Here is a 15,496-nt window from a genome sequence, read left to right as displayed (position 1 = left end):
CTTGCTGCCCTCCAATCTGTTCTCCCTACTTCAGCTGAAACGCTCTTAAAATTCAAATATATTATTTCCTGCTTAAAACACACCAATGACGTCCAATTTTCTCAGGATAAAGACCTAAATATTTAACTCTTGGTCTGCAAGTATCTGCATGATTTCATGTCTGCTTCCTCCTCCAGCTTTGTTTCATACCATGCTCCCCCTCACAGTCTGTGTTCCAGCCATATCGATTTTCCTTCAGTTCCTGGAAATACGCCCTGTTTCCTCCTCCTACAGGGCTCTGCATAAACTCTCCCTTCAGCCTGAAACACACTGCTTGTCCCTTTCTGACTTATCTTCTACTCATTCTTCAGAGTTCATTCTTCTTTAATGCTTTCATTAGGCCTAATGCTCTTTTATATGCGCTCCTAGTTCTGTGAACCATCTTTTGTCATTTTATCACAGTGTATTAGTTTGCTATGTCTGCCATAACAAAATACCACAGACTAGGTGGCTTAAGCATCTGAAATTTACTTCTCAAAATTCAGAAGCTGGAAGTCCAAGGTCAAGGTGTCGGCAGGTTTGCTTTTTCCTAAGGCCTCTCTGCCTTCTTGCTACATCTTCGCATGATCTTTTCTTTGTGTGCATGCATCCCTGGTGTTTCTTTGTCCACATTTCCTCTTTTTATAAGGACAATAGTCAGATTGTATTAGGGCCCATCCTAATGGCCTCCGTTAACTTAATTACCTCTCTAAACGTTGTATCCCCAAATACAGTTGCATTCTGAGATACTGGAGGCTCCAACATATAATTTTTTTTTTTTTGCAGTGGAGTGGGAGAATACAATTCAGTCCATAACATACGCTTATAGTTTTTATTCCGTTTTGTAATTATTACTGTCTTCTCCAGTAGCTTATAATCTCAACAAGGATAGAGATTTTGTCTGGCATGAACCACCATTGTTATTACATGATCTGGCAGTACTGCAGACAGTCTGTTTGTTGAATAAATGAACAATTAAGAATTAGAAGAGCCTAGCAGAGTGTGATACATAATAAATGTTCTGCAAATGTTAGATGCTATTAATAATGATGATGATAAACAGATGGTTCAGCTGACTCAGGGGATCTCTCTCAATGTTGTTCTCATGATGTAGTTGCTGCTATTAGCATTTACTTCTGAAGTCATGCAGCTGATTTGAATCTTCAGGTTTCCTTGAAAGGGTTTAATCATTGAACATATGGCAAACCAGTACTAGCACAGCTTCAGTAAATATAGACTGATAATTGTGGATTTTCTGTGACTATTTAACTTCCATGTAACAAATTCTCTTGATTGGGCCAGGTGTGGTGGCTCACACCTGTAATCCCAGCAAATTGGGAGGCTGAGGCAGAAAGTTCACCTGAGGTCAGGAGTTTGAGACCAGCCTGGCCAACATGGTGAAACCCCGTCTCTACTAAAAATACAAACATTAGCTGGGTGTGGTTGTGCACACCTGTAATCCCAGCTACTTTGGAGACTGAGACAGGAGAATCGCTTGAACCTGGAAGGCGGAGGTTGCAATGAGCTGAGATTGTGCCAATGCACTCCAGCCTGGGCAACAGAGCAAGATTCTGTCTCGAAAAAAAGAAATTCTCTTGAAGCTTGTTTTATGATTGAATGTGTAAGCTCATTTCTGAAATATTAATTTTTCAACTCCTTTTTGTTATAAAAAACACGCAAAACAGAAAAACTCTTGACTGGTTACATTTTATCTAACACGATCATTTCAATTCTGTGATCTTCATTATAGAATTGTGTAAAATGAAGTTCAGAAATTAATATATAATATTCAAGGCCCGTTAATGTATTTTATGCCTGCTATATCATGTTGCAATAATTTGCATTACTTTCCTAGACTTTTAGTCTTGTCTTGAAAGTGAAATGAACATACTTCAATATTTCTCTCCAACCACATTTCTCTTTTTCACATTTTTAAGGTACATAAATCAATTAAAAGTGAAGGTTGATATGATACATATGATAATATGGACATCAGTTGTTCAAGCAACCAAAGGATTAGATATAGCCAACTTAAAAATATATGCATAAATCTACCTAGGATTTAACTCATTTTCCCTAAAAACCATAGGATAACTCATTGGGCCAAGAATACAGGCTTTTATACTGACCAAAATATGTAGTTCATCTTTGTTATCACTAGATGTCAGTGTTGTTTCATTGGAAACACAGAGGTTGTGGCTCCAGAGGATCCCAAGAGGATTTTGTATGACTAACTAATCAACACTCTGCACTCTTACTAGCTGGCTTCTGAAGCTCACCAAAGTTCTTTTAGCATCACAGAGCTGAAAGAGACCTTACTTCTGCACAGGCTGCACAGAATGTATATTATTTTATTAGGCAAATGAAGAATGAAGGGCAATAAGTTTCAAAGAGCCAAAGGCAATTTTTGCTTAACAATAACAACGATCAAGACATATTGAATGCTCACTGTGTGCGAGGCATGGCGCTAAGTATTTTACACAGATCCTCTTATTTAATGCTTCCTTAGACTAACTGCAGAAAAAATAATACTCACATTTCACATGTGAAGAAATTGAGGTTTAGAGAGGTTAAATAATTTGCTCAGGACTACAGAACCAGCAAGTAATGAAAAAGTGATTCAAATGCAATGAAGCCAATTGCTGAACTTAACTTTGCCTTTAACTATAGTACAGTACTATGTGGCCTCATCCTTTAATCACAAGGAAGACGAATCTTTGCTAAAAACTGCATAAAATAGTTATTTTGAAACTCATTTAGGAATTACTATGACTATAAATTGTATATTGTGACTTATTAGTATAAAATTCCCTGAAATATGAAATCCTAATTTCTGAACATTTTGAAAAAATGTAGGCACTTTTATTTTCTTTTTTACTGCCGCCCAGTCACAAAGAGATGATGTTAATTAAATGACCCCTCAAGGAAGTTGTGGGTGATGTTACAGATGTTTGCACAGACTTTCCTTCATTGTGACCTCTGTAGCTATAGGCAGTGATGGTGGAGCTCTAACTGATGCCTCTTTGGTATAATGGAGGCCAGGATCATAAAACTCCATTGAATGAACCATGGAAAGATTCTAGGTGACTATGATTTTTTTTTGCTAATCTAGCTAGTGGCACAGTCAATTCAATAAAACATAGAACATTTTAAAAAGTTCCTCCTAGAAGGTAATCTGGCAATATGAATCAAAACATAAAAAAGGTATAATTTAACATAACAATTCGCTTCTAGAAATATTTCCCAAGAAAACAGTTTTAGATTTATCAAGTTGTATGTTTATCAAAGCAACATTTATAATAATGAAAAAATTAAACCACTTGTAATTTCAAATTGAGGGAATAAAATGTAGAGGGGAAAAAATGGCTAAATAAAATGTAGTTACTAAAGTAATTAGTAGAATATTTAATGATATAAAAAAGTTTATAACATGTTGTTAAGTTTAAAAAAGGTTAAGTTTGCAAAACTATTTTCAGTAGGATCCCAATTTTGTAAAAAATATATATATGCAGAGATTTCAAAAAGTTCATGGAAAAATAGAATTAAAAGATAAAAGTAAAAATTATAAACTGTATTTCTCAACATATGCTATATTAAGTTCAAGATACTTTTGTAAGTGACGATACCAGCCATTTAGAGCATCCCTAAAGAACTGAGTCCTAGGAATTTAACCACGTCAATGCAGTCTTTTTACATTATTAACTGAAGGAAAATGCATTCCATTTAAGACTTTTTAGGATTATGAAACAAAAAGACATTAGAAAGAGTCAAATCAAGACTATAAGGTGAATGCCTAGTGATTTCCCATCAAAACTCTTCCAAAATTACCCTGCTTGATGAGAAGGATGAGCAGGAATATTGTCATGGTGGAGAAGAACTCTCTGGTGAAGATTTCTTGGCTGTTTTTCTGCTAAAGCTTTGGCTAACTTTCTATAACATTCTTATACTATTGGCTAACTTTCTATAACATTCTTATACTAAGCAGATATTATCATTCTTTGGCCCTCCAGAAAGTCAACAACAAAATACCTTAAGCAACCTTAAAAATTGTTGCCATAACCTTTGCTCTTGGCTTGTTTGTTTCTGCTTTGGCTGGATCACTTCTACCTCTTTGTAGCCATTGCTTAGATTATGTTTTGTCTCCAGGATTGTACTGGTAAAGCCATGTTTCATCTACCATTACAGTTCTTCCAAGAAATGCTTCAGGGTCTTGATCTCACTTATTTAAAATGTCCTTTGAAAGTTCTGCTATTGTCTGAAGCTGATCTGGGTGTTTTGGCACCAATCGAGTAGAAAATTTGCTCAACTTTAATTTTTTAGTCAGAATTATATAAGCTGGACCAGTTGAAATGTTTATAGCATAGGCTATCGTTTCTGCTTTTCATCATCAGTCCTCTTCAATTAAGACACAAACAAGAGCCTGGGCAACATAGGGAGATCTAATCTCTACTTAAACCAACCAACAAACAAAAATCAGCCAGGAGTCCCAGCTACTCAGGAGGCTAAAGTGGCAGGATTGCTTGAGCCTGGGAGACTGAGGATGCAGTGAGTAGGATAACACCATTGCACTTTAGCCTGGGTGACAGAGCGAGAACTTGTTTCAAAAAAAAAAAAAAAAGACATGAACAAGATTAATTCTTTTCTCACAAATTGATATGGATGGTCTGTGACTGTGGGCTTTATCTTCAACATGGTCTCATCCCATTTTAAAATGAATTATCCATTTGTAAACTGCTGATTTCTTTAGGGGCATTATCCCCATAAAGTTTTTATAAAGCATCAGTGATTTCACTTATTTTCCACACAAACTTCACCATAAATTTGATGTCTTTTCTTGCTTTAATTTTAGCAGAATTCATGTTGCTCTGATAAGAACTCTGTTCAAACTGATGTCTTATCCTTCTTAGTGCCCCAAACTAGCTCCTGTTCATACATGTTATAACAAGTTGGTATAAGTTTATTTTGGTGCAAAAAAATTCAAACTCCATGTGAAGTTTTTTCATAGTATGTGTTTCCATCAACCTTTTAAAAAATAATTCAACTTTTGTTTTAGATTCAGGGGTACATTTTCAGGCTTGTTATATGGGTATATTGTGTGATGTTGAGGTTTGGGATATGAATGATTCCATCACCCAGATAGTGAGCATAGTACCCAATAGTTAATTTTTCAACCCTTGCCCCCTTCCCTCTCTCCCCACTCTAGTAGTCCACATTGTGGATTATTGCCATCTTTATGTCTATGAGAACCCAATGTTTAGCTCTCACCTATAATTGAGAACATGTGGTACTTGACTTCTGTTCTTGCATTAATTCACTGAGGATAATGGCCTCCAGATGCATTCATGTTGCTGTAAAGGACGATTTCATTCTTTTTAATGGCTACATAGTGTTCCATAGTGTATATATACCACATTTTCTTTATCTAATCTACTGTTGATGGGAACCTAGGTTGATTCCATGTCTTTGCATTACATTCAGTATTGTAAATAGTGCTGCAATGAATGTAGGAGTACATGTGTCTTTTTGGTGGAATGGTGTATTTTCTTTTGGATATGTACCCTGTAATTGTGTCCGGAATTGGTGGGTTCTCGGTCTCACTGACTTCAAGAATGAAGCCGCGGACCCTTGCGGTGAGTGTTACAGTTCTTAAAGGCAGCGTGTCAGGAGTTTGTTCCTTCTGATGTTCAGATGTGTCCGGAGTTTGTTCCTTCTGGTGGGTTCGTGGTCTCGCTGGCTCAGGAGTGAAGCTGCAGACCTTCATGGTGAGTGGTACATCTCTTAAGATGGCGTGTCTGGAGTTGTTCATTCCTCCCAGTGGGTTCATGGTTTCACTGGCTTCAGGAGTGAAGCTGCAGACCTTCGCAGCCAGTGTTACAGCTCATAAAGGCAGTGTGGACCCAAAGAGTGAGCAGTAGCAAGATTTATTGCAACGAGGGAAGAACAAAGCTTCCACAGTGTGGAAGGTGACCCAGGTTTCCATTGCTGGCTTGGGCAACCTGCTTTTATTCTCTTATCTGGCCCCACCCACATCTGGCTGATTGGTCCATTTTACAGAGAGCCGATTGGTCTGTTTTACAGAGAGCTGATTGGTCCGTTTTGACAGGCTACTGATTGGTGCATTTACAATCCCTGAGCTAGACACAAAAGTTCACCAAGTCCCCACTAGATTAGCTAGATACAGAGTGTCAATTGGTGTATTTACAAACCCTGAGCTAGACACAGAGTGCTGATTGGTGCATTTACAAACCTTGAGCTAGATACAGAGTGCCGATTGGTGCATTCACAATCCCTTAGCTAGACATAAAATTTCTCCTCTCCCCACCAGATTAATTAGATACAGAGTGTCCATTGGTACATCCACAAACCCTGAGCTAGATACAGGGTGCTGACTGGTGTGTTTACAAACCTTGAGCTATATACAGAGTGCTGATTGGTGTATTTACAATCTCTTAGCTAGACATAAAGATTCTCCAAGTCCCCACCAGACTCAGGAGCCCAGCTGGCTTCACCCAGTGGATCCCCGAGCAGGGCGCAGGTGGAGCTGCCTGCCAGTCCCACGCAGTGAGCCCACACTCCTCAGCCCTTGGGGAGTCAATGGGACTGGGCACCGTGGAGCAGGGGCCAGTGCTCTTGAGGAGGATCCGGCCGGCGCAGGAGCGGGGAGGTGGGGGCGGCGGGAGGGCGGGGAGGCGGCGGCGGGGGAGCGGGGAGGCGGGGACGGGGTACGGGGCGGGGGGCGGGGGGCGAGGAGGCGGGGGGGCGGGGGAGGTGGGGAGGCGGAGGCGGTGGGGGGAGCGGGGGGAGCAGGGGGAGGCTCAGGCATGGCCATGGCCGGGTGCAGGTCCGGAACCCTGCCCCGCTGGGACAGCTAAGACCCCAGAAATCCAGCACAGCAGCTGCTGGCCCAGGTGCTAAGCCCCTCACTGCCCGGGGCTGGCGGGGCGGCCGGCCGGCCGCTCCGAGCAGGGGGCCTGCCGAGCCCACGCCCACCCGGAACTCGCGCTGGCTCGCAAGCGCAGCGCGCAGCCCGGGTTCCCGCCTGCGCCTCTCCCTCCACACCTCCCGGCAAGCTGTGGGAGCCGGCTCCGGCCTTGGCCAGCCCAGAAAGGGGATCCTACAGTGCAGCGGGGGGCTGAAGGGCTCCTCAAGCGCGGCCAGAGTGGGCGCCAAGGCCGAGGAGGCGCCGAGAGCGAGTGAGGGCTGCTAGGGCCGCCAGCATGCTGTCACCTCTCATAATGGGTTTCTGGACAGGTAGTTCTGCTTTATTTTTTAACATCTAAAAATAACCAATATACCACATTTTATTTAGAAGAATTGCATTATAAAACAAATGTTTTACAACTAACTGTAATTAATTCTTTTGTTATATATGCCTGAAGAATACACCGAAAAGTTAGTAGTTTCTTTTTTAGGTGATAGGGTAATAGATGACTTTTGTTTTCTTTCTTTGTGCTTTGATTTATTTTTCTTTTTTTAACATATGAGTAATGTATATTATTTATAAATTACAAAAAACTCACAAGCTATTTATATTTTTAAGAATTTTACGTTATTTTTTAAACTAGGTTCAGCGCTTATGTTTATTTAGAAAATCTGATTATTGCCATCTGTTTTCACATATCTTCAGTGTTGTTAACAATTCATGGCGTGTGTTTCTGTGTCGGAGGCAGGAGGGAGCTGAAAAGATGCAGTTTTATCTCCAAAGGAAAGGTAAGATGATTTAAAAAAAAATCTTGGTTACTGTCTTATGCAACTTGAGGGTGATCAATGAGGCTTTGGCCAAGTGTTTCTCAACAAAGTTCCGACTTAGTGTTTCTAATAAAGGGCATTGAGTTTTGTGTGGGTCAACATATTTGAAGGCACTGTGTTTACCATCTTCATTGTTGAAAACAGCTTGTCACGTGTCGTTCATATTTAGTCTGTTTTCTTGTTAACCATGAAAGCAAAGTGGTATATGGGATATTGTAGAATCTGCTGCTGCTTTTAATTCTACATCTTTACTATTTTGATTGATTCTTTTAGAGTTGTTTATCTTTTTTTTAATGTGAGGTTGCATAGTCCAAGGATTCTGGTTTATTTTATGAATGTTAAACATTATTGAAATCACATAAGTCTAATTAGACAGCGAATGCCTAATTAAAGTATTCCTACATTATAGTCTCAAACTTTTGGGAATTTTACTTGGCAATTTCTTCATAAATATATTCATCTGCCTTTTAAATAGCTTTCAATTTTTGTGATATGAAGGCTCTACCATCAAATTATTCTTTTATATTGGAATTATATCGATCAATACATGTCTTTAAAGTGCTGAATTTTATGGAGCATCCATATATCAAATCTCAGGGCTGTAGACGGACATCCTTTCATTGATCACAGCTTGAACCTGAGCAGAGGATGATGGACAGAAACATGATTTAAGAAGTGATAAATCTGTTGTAGCAGACCTGTGATCTTCTGGCCTCAACCTTACAAATGCTATTGGTGACAATTGTGGCTAAATTGATTGGTTATTGTCCTCAGGTTTGCAACTCTGACTCTAAACTCATATTGGGCTGAAAAATTTAAATATCTTGTTTCCAGGAGTCTTCATTTTTGGTATCAGTAAATAATCCACATTTATTTTCCTTTTGAGTGCTTTCTCTGTACTTCCTTCCTAAGTGAGGGCACTAGATTGACTTTCTTCTGAATAGGTATAAAATTTTGGCCCTTAGTATTTTTGTCAACGCTGCTTTAATTAAGAATAACAACAGGTGATGTGCATGTTGGCTGGAAATCAAGATTCGGAAGGATTTTACTGCAAAGAAAAATCTGAAGTTCATGATTCAATGCGTTGTGAAGCTAGTATTGAACCTGGTTAAATCAAATTACACTGAGCTCATGGCCGTAGTGTATGATATAGTTGCTCAGACTGGGCTTATTTTCCATTTTCTTCCATTAAAATACCATCCAAAACTGAAAGTATCACAAAGAACTGCATTCAAGATACCTATTTGGATGGAAAATGGCACCTTTAACTGCATCTTTTTGTACTGACTTATAGGGTTCAGTGACTGAAATGTATTTTTTTTCTTCTTTCTTTTTCTGATTTGTTGTATTCATGCTTGCAAGCACTGCCTGCAAATGACAAAACTGTAGGGAAATAATCTATACTATATAGGCTTACCTATGTCATTGAGAACAAGAGAGGATGTTAAGAAAGTGTTGATTTTTGTAATAATTCACTCGTTTAAGTTCTATTGATAGGTACCGTAGTGTTTAGGAAAAAAAAAAAGAGACAAGATGGTTACATAAAGCACAATTTTGAGTTTTGTTTTGCATTGTATAAAGTAGAAGAATAAGGGCCCAGGGATTTCAATTCCAGAAATGTAAAAATCAAAAAGGTAAAGTAATGAAGGTGACTCTATTTTAATCACAAATGGAAGTGATACATAAGTTACAATCAAAATTTTAAAATGAATTCATTTTAATATGCCTAAACTTTATTTGACAAGCTATTTAACATAGCCTATGAGCCAGGCACTGATTAAGCACTTTGGCATTTTATGAATATTCACTTACTTAAATCTCATAAATAACACTATAAATACTGATACTATCATCAGCAACTCCGTTCTACAGATGGGTGGTTGCTTGTGTTGAAAAAATAGCTAGTAGTTAGCAGAGCTGGAATTGAAGCCCAGCAGGTGACTCATGTCCACCAGCAATCCCTTTGCCTCCCTAGTACAGGTGACTGTTGTCAGAGCCCCTGGTTGGAGTGGGAGGAGCCTAGAGGTGCTGCTCACTAGACTTGGCTCAGAGGTTGCAAAAATAGTATAACTGCCCTCCCAAACCTAATGGCCACTGTGGTCAGCAGCTCTTCTAAGAAGAAGATCCTTTTGGGTTAATTCAATAAAATAACTCTTTATGTCTTTGGAGCAGGGTGGGGAGAATTTCTTCTAAAATGGATGGAGGAGTGGAAATTAAAGAAGTGAACAAAACAGGTGGCAATCTTTCATATGTGGTGTGTTTTCTCTCTTTTCCTGACTTCAATTTCCTTTGAAGGCACAAAATGCTTCATTGAAAAGGGATTGAAGCTGTATTTACAGGTTACAGAAGTGGCTCTGTCAGTCACTCAGTCACCTCCTAGAAATATACCTATCCCACTTGGACCCATCCTTCTTCTCCTAAGTACCCATCAGTTTCCCTCTCCCACTGATTTTTTGTCTTCCTTCTGCAAACCTATTTATGCATTAGTTCCCACCCAGATCCCATACTCTGGCACACCCCTTACTTAGCTACCTCTTTCTGAATGTGATTCTGAGGGATTTCATGGAAACGTTTACAACTGGATACCTTTTGGGTTCCTAGTTTGCCCACAGGCAGACAGTAAACAGATTCTTTTAAGGTATGGATTAATAGAATTTAAGAGAATGTTTTTAAGCCCTTAAACTGCTGTTTCAGTCTCTCAAAAGCTGAGTATCAAAGATTTGAGTATCAAAGTTACACTTCAAGTTAGTAACAACCAAATACTGTTTTTTCATTCTGTTGTCTTTTGGTAAAAATTACATTTTTTGAAAGTAAATTTTTATAGTAATCATTAAGATGTTTAGAAACCAAGTTCTTCAGGATAAAGAAGTTTATATTATGTTGGAAAAGTTCTGGCTCCAGAGATGTTTCTAAATTGAGGCCAGGACACAAAAATATTGTCAAACCACAATTTCTAAGCATTATAATTTTTAAGGTTTTCATTTTGTATATTCAAAAATCATTTTGTTATGTATTAATGAGTCAATAGTAGTGCACTTAGTTAGTGCTATTTTTTTTTTTTCTGAATTATCAGTATGTGGTAAATAAAACTCAAAGCACTATTTGTTTTTCCCTTGGCTTAAAAATTTGGCTTTAGGTGAAATGGACACTGCTGTGCTGACCCTGGGCTTTTTAAAGCTCTGTTGTAAAAGCTATAAATGGTTTCTTAACATGCCCCTCACATTTCAAATATCTTTTTCCACAAGGACTACAAAATAGCAAAATGTGCATCTGAGGCTTTGATACACACAGTGAAAATAGAAAGAGGAGAGGGAAATTCACTTCTTTATTAGGACGGCTTAAGTAACAGAGAGGGAGAGCCAAAGGGGTGAATGGCCTTATTCATGCTTGGTATTCCATAAAAGAATTGGGGTGCTTCTTTTTCTGATCTCCTGCAAGCATTCAGTTGCATAAGCTGGTGAATGAAAACATACCCCAATACAAAGCATTTTTTTTAAAAAGGATTCTGTTCTTGAATGTATTCTTTGTCTTAGTTCTTACTTCAGATGACTCCTTGCTTATGAGTATTTCCTTTGCATACTGTAAACAGAAAAAAAGATAAGTTCCTTCTCATGAGAGATTATTAAAGGGCAAGGGTAAGGAGAAAAGTAGAAACCAGGAAAGGATGAGGAACAAATGGATAGAGTAAAGCAATTAGCATAATGTATTCATCCTGCAAAATGTTTTGCCTCAGGTCCCAGTGGGATCAGTTGTAGAGATATAGATTCTAGTCTGTGTGTAGAAAAGATGCATAAAGTAACTTGTCTGAACACTTGCTTATGACTGAATTCAAGGCTTTTTCTGTCTGGTTCCAATTCTACATGTAAAATATAAGGGTACTCTTTATTGAAATCCTGCTTCAGTGTATTCCAGTGGTTTAGTGGGCTGCAGGGGAGAACAGAATGCCAAAAGACTGCCGCTTTAAAAATATATCTTGGTACAAGATACCCTTGACACACCTGTCTTGATCCTACAGACTCTATGAATGAGAATCTTAGCAAAACTGATTAGGTTACTTGTGAAAGTCTGGGGCTATAACCCTGAGCTTGTGTGGAGCTGAAAACTTTTAATCCCTAGTTTCTAAATGTCCCCTTCAGCATCAACAGCTGCAATACAAACAAATCAGCTAATATGTTGTATATCCAGAAAAAATGTCTCAGTAAAATATGATTCTGTAGAGTGTTGCTTATTTATACCTTTGACATCTTCCTCTCCCCCAAATCCTGACTGTAGTTAGATGAGACCAATCCAGTTAGGGCATAATGGTTTATTTATTCTGAATTTTAATGAAAACATGAAAGGATATGTTGAGAGTTATAAAGACAATACCATGAGAAAGTATACATTTTATTGGTATACATATGTCTGTATACAAATTGTAACCTCCACAAGACGAGTTATCATGGTATAATGTTTATTGTTGAATCCTTAATTCTTAGCACCGTACTTGACACAGGGTCACAGTATATGTTTGTTAAATAAATGAATGAAAAAGTGAAGTCTGATAATTTCTGTGAGTACTAATAATTACTTTTATTTAGTACCACTAAGAGAATAATTTTGAGAAGTTTATTCCATTAAGAAATTTCATAGTCTTTGCTTAGTATTTGCTCACAGTATAGTAATGAGTCTCTGTCACTTCATATTTAGGGAGGGTCTGCTTTCTTCAAAATGCTGGTGCCCTACTTAATTCATTTACTCTTGCTGTGTCTTTATTGTGCAGTTTTTTGATAGCTTCTTCTGTAGCACCATTAAGCATCTTCATACCTGAAATGGCAGTTCATGTAGATTAATTACACTTTAATTGTTATGCATGTAATATCATTTAGGTTATACAGCTATTTATTGAGCACTTACCACATGTTGAGGACTTTTGAAGTTACAGTGAATAATGAGTTATAATCCCTGGTCTCACATACCAATTTTACAAGCCAGAAAATACGTGAAAAATGAATTTTAAAATTCAAATTATTGGAGAAAACAATAAACCATCAATATTTCCTGGTTGAGAAATTCCGAGATTCTTTTGTATTTGAAAAGACATTTTGTATCGTCTATTATTCAACTGCCTTCAAGAAGAGTTGACACAACAAAGAGGTGATTTTAATGGAGGAAATATAGTATAAGAAATAGGTAAATTGATTTGATTTCTCTAACTTTGTCAAAAGACTTTTTTTGAATAAATTATTTTATACTTAGTGTATCTTTTTCTATTTTTAAATTAAAATTTCTGAATTATGGCTTGGAAATTACTTTCTGTTGCTGCCATTCTGATGTTTCTGTGTCCCCTGACTTCCTTTGGTGGAATTGTTTGTATCTCTGAAGAAAAAAACTTCTTCGGTAGCTGCTTAAGAAAGGATATTTGAGAAATAAGTTTTTATGCTTTTTTGCACATCTGAAAATTTCTTTCACCCTCAATTTGGTTAACAGCTTTGTTCAATATAGCATTTTGTATTAAAAATATATCTCCCTCAGAATATTGAAAACATTGATTCCTTATAGTTCCAGCATTGGTATTGAGACATGCCATTCTGTTTCCTATGCCTTGTATGTGACATATACGTGCAGTCATGCATTGCTTAATGAGAAGAATGCCTTATGAGAAATTAATCGTTCCATGATTTTGTCATGTGTGAACACCATAGAGTGTACATAGTACATAAACCTAGATGGCATAGCCTACTATACACGTAGACAATATGGTATAGTCTAGCACTCCTAGGCTACAAACCTATATAGCATGTTAATATACTGAATACCGTAAGCAATTGGAAGACAATGGTATCTGTACATCTAAACATAGGAAATGTGTAGTAAACATACGGTATAAAACATAAAAAATGGTACCTCTGTATAGGACACTTATGAATGGTGCTTCAGGATTAGAAGTTGCTCTGGGTGAGTCAGTGAGTGATGAATGAATGTGAAGGACCAGGATGTTACTGTACACTACTGTGGAATTTATAAACACCGTACAGTTAGGCTATACCAAATTTGTAAAAAGTATTTCTTTCTTCAGTAATAAATCAAACTTAGCTTACTATAACTTTTTTTAACCTTATAAAGTTTTAAAATATTTTAAAACTTTTTGACTGTTTTGTAAAAATACTTAGTTTAAAATACATTGTACAGGTATGCAGAAATATAGTACAGCTATACAAAAATATTTTTTCTTTATATCCTTATTCATAAGCTTTTTCCATTTTAAAATGATTTATTTCTTTACTATTATTTTTTAAAAAACTTTTTTGTTAAATAAACAAAAATAACACAAATACACACATTAGCCTGGGCATACTGATATGGTTTGGCTGTGTCCCCACCCCAATCTCATCTTGAATAATAGCTCCCATAATCCCCAGATGTCGTGGGAGGGACCTGGTGGGAGGTAACGGAATCATGGGGCAGGTTTTCCCCATGCTGTTCTCGTGATAGTGAATAAGTCTTATGAGATCTGATGGTTTTATAAAGGGCAGTTCCCCTGCACATGCTCTCTTGCCTGCCACCATGTAAGACGTGCCTTTGCTTCTCCTTCACCTTCTGCCATGATTGTGAGGCCTCCCCAGCCATGTGGAATTGTGAGTCCATGAAACCTCTTTTTCTTTATAAATTACCAAACCTCGGGTACTTCTTTATAGCAATATGAAAATGGACTAATACAAATACGGAGGATCAGAATCATCAATATCCTTGTTTTCCACCTCCACGTCTTGTCCCACTGGAAGGTCTTCAGGGACAATAACATGCATGGAGCTGTCCTCTCTCCTATGAGATATATATATATATATATATATATATATATATGTATTTCTCTTTCTGGATCCTTCTATAATCTTTCTTATCAGTGTTCTGAACTTCACAGTGATGAGTCTTGGGGGGTGTGTGTGTGTGTGTGTGTTTGTGTGTATGTGTGGCTTGTTCCTAACATTGGGCACTTAGTTGCCTTTTTAATCTGGGATATATCCTTCCATTTCTTATAGATTAGGAAATTGAGAGTAAGGCAGTTAAATAACCTGCCAGATCACACAGCTAAGTGACAGAGCCAGGACTGTTTGACTTCCGAATTCTGTGTGTAGTGCATAAAGTTTAGCATAGCACTTTTGCTTGTCCCTATTTAAAGTGCCCAGGTGGATACAGACAAAAGTGACTCAAGGCACATGCTGAAGGAACCCAGTGCTTCTAAAGTATTTTCTTTGCTTTCACGAAGTCTTTTGCAAAATAGTTTTGTAGACCTTAATATTCTTATTTTTCTCAACTTTCAGCCTTTCTTAAAGCTTCCTCTTCCCTTTATAGCCTATCAACCACTCAGCTCACACACATCAGGGTCCCACATGCTTGATATGTGCCCATCTAACAGCTAGTATTCTCACTCAGCATGGATATTAGCACATCTAAAACTCACATCTACAGTTACTGCCATTTCCTGCACAGGGGTTATAATATCTATACATATGTGAGAAGAGGGAGTTTGCCACAAAATATTACAGATTTTTAGTCTGTAGCTTGTGATTGCACAGTTTGTTCATAGGCAAAAACTTGTTAGCAATCTAAGTTCATTTAGTTTTATTTGTTGTTCCTGTAAATTAAAAAGTTAGGGATAACTACATTTTGATACTCCCTAAGCCACTTCTGACAGAATAAGCCTAATACACATCTGAAAATGACACTTGTGTAATCGCTTATAAAACAA

General features: G+C 37.7%; 1 long non-coding RNA gene across 1 annotated transcript in view; it reads left to right on the top strand.

The window, feature by feature from the left end:
- Nucleotides 1-6,531: 6,531 nt before the first annotated feature.
- Nucleotides 6,532-15,496, top strand: part of LINC02302 (long intergenic non-protein coding RNA 2302) — a 35,970-nt gene continuing 27,005 nt past the window's right edge. Inside the window, exons 1-2 of the long non-coding RNA NR_146457.1 lie at nucleotides 6,532-6,682; nucleotides 7,646-7,728. This is a non-coding gene — a long non-coding RNA (long intergenic non-protein coding RNA 2302). The remainder of the gene's footprint in view (nucleotides 6,683-7,645; nucleotides 7,729-15,496) is intronic.

The sequence above is a fragment of the Homo sapiens genome, chromosome 14 (assembly GCF_000001405.40).
Source record: "Homo sapiens chromosome 14, GRCh38.p14 Primary Assembly".
Lineage (NCBI taxonomy): Eukaryota > Metazoa > Chordata > Mammalia > Primates > Hominidae > Homo > Homo sapiens.
Note: the sequence above shows the minus strand (reverse complement) of the source record. Positions and strands in the feature narration are given on the sequence as shown.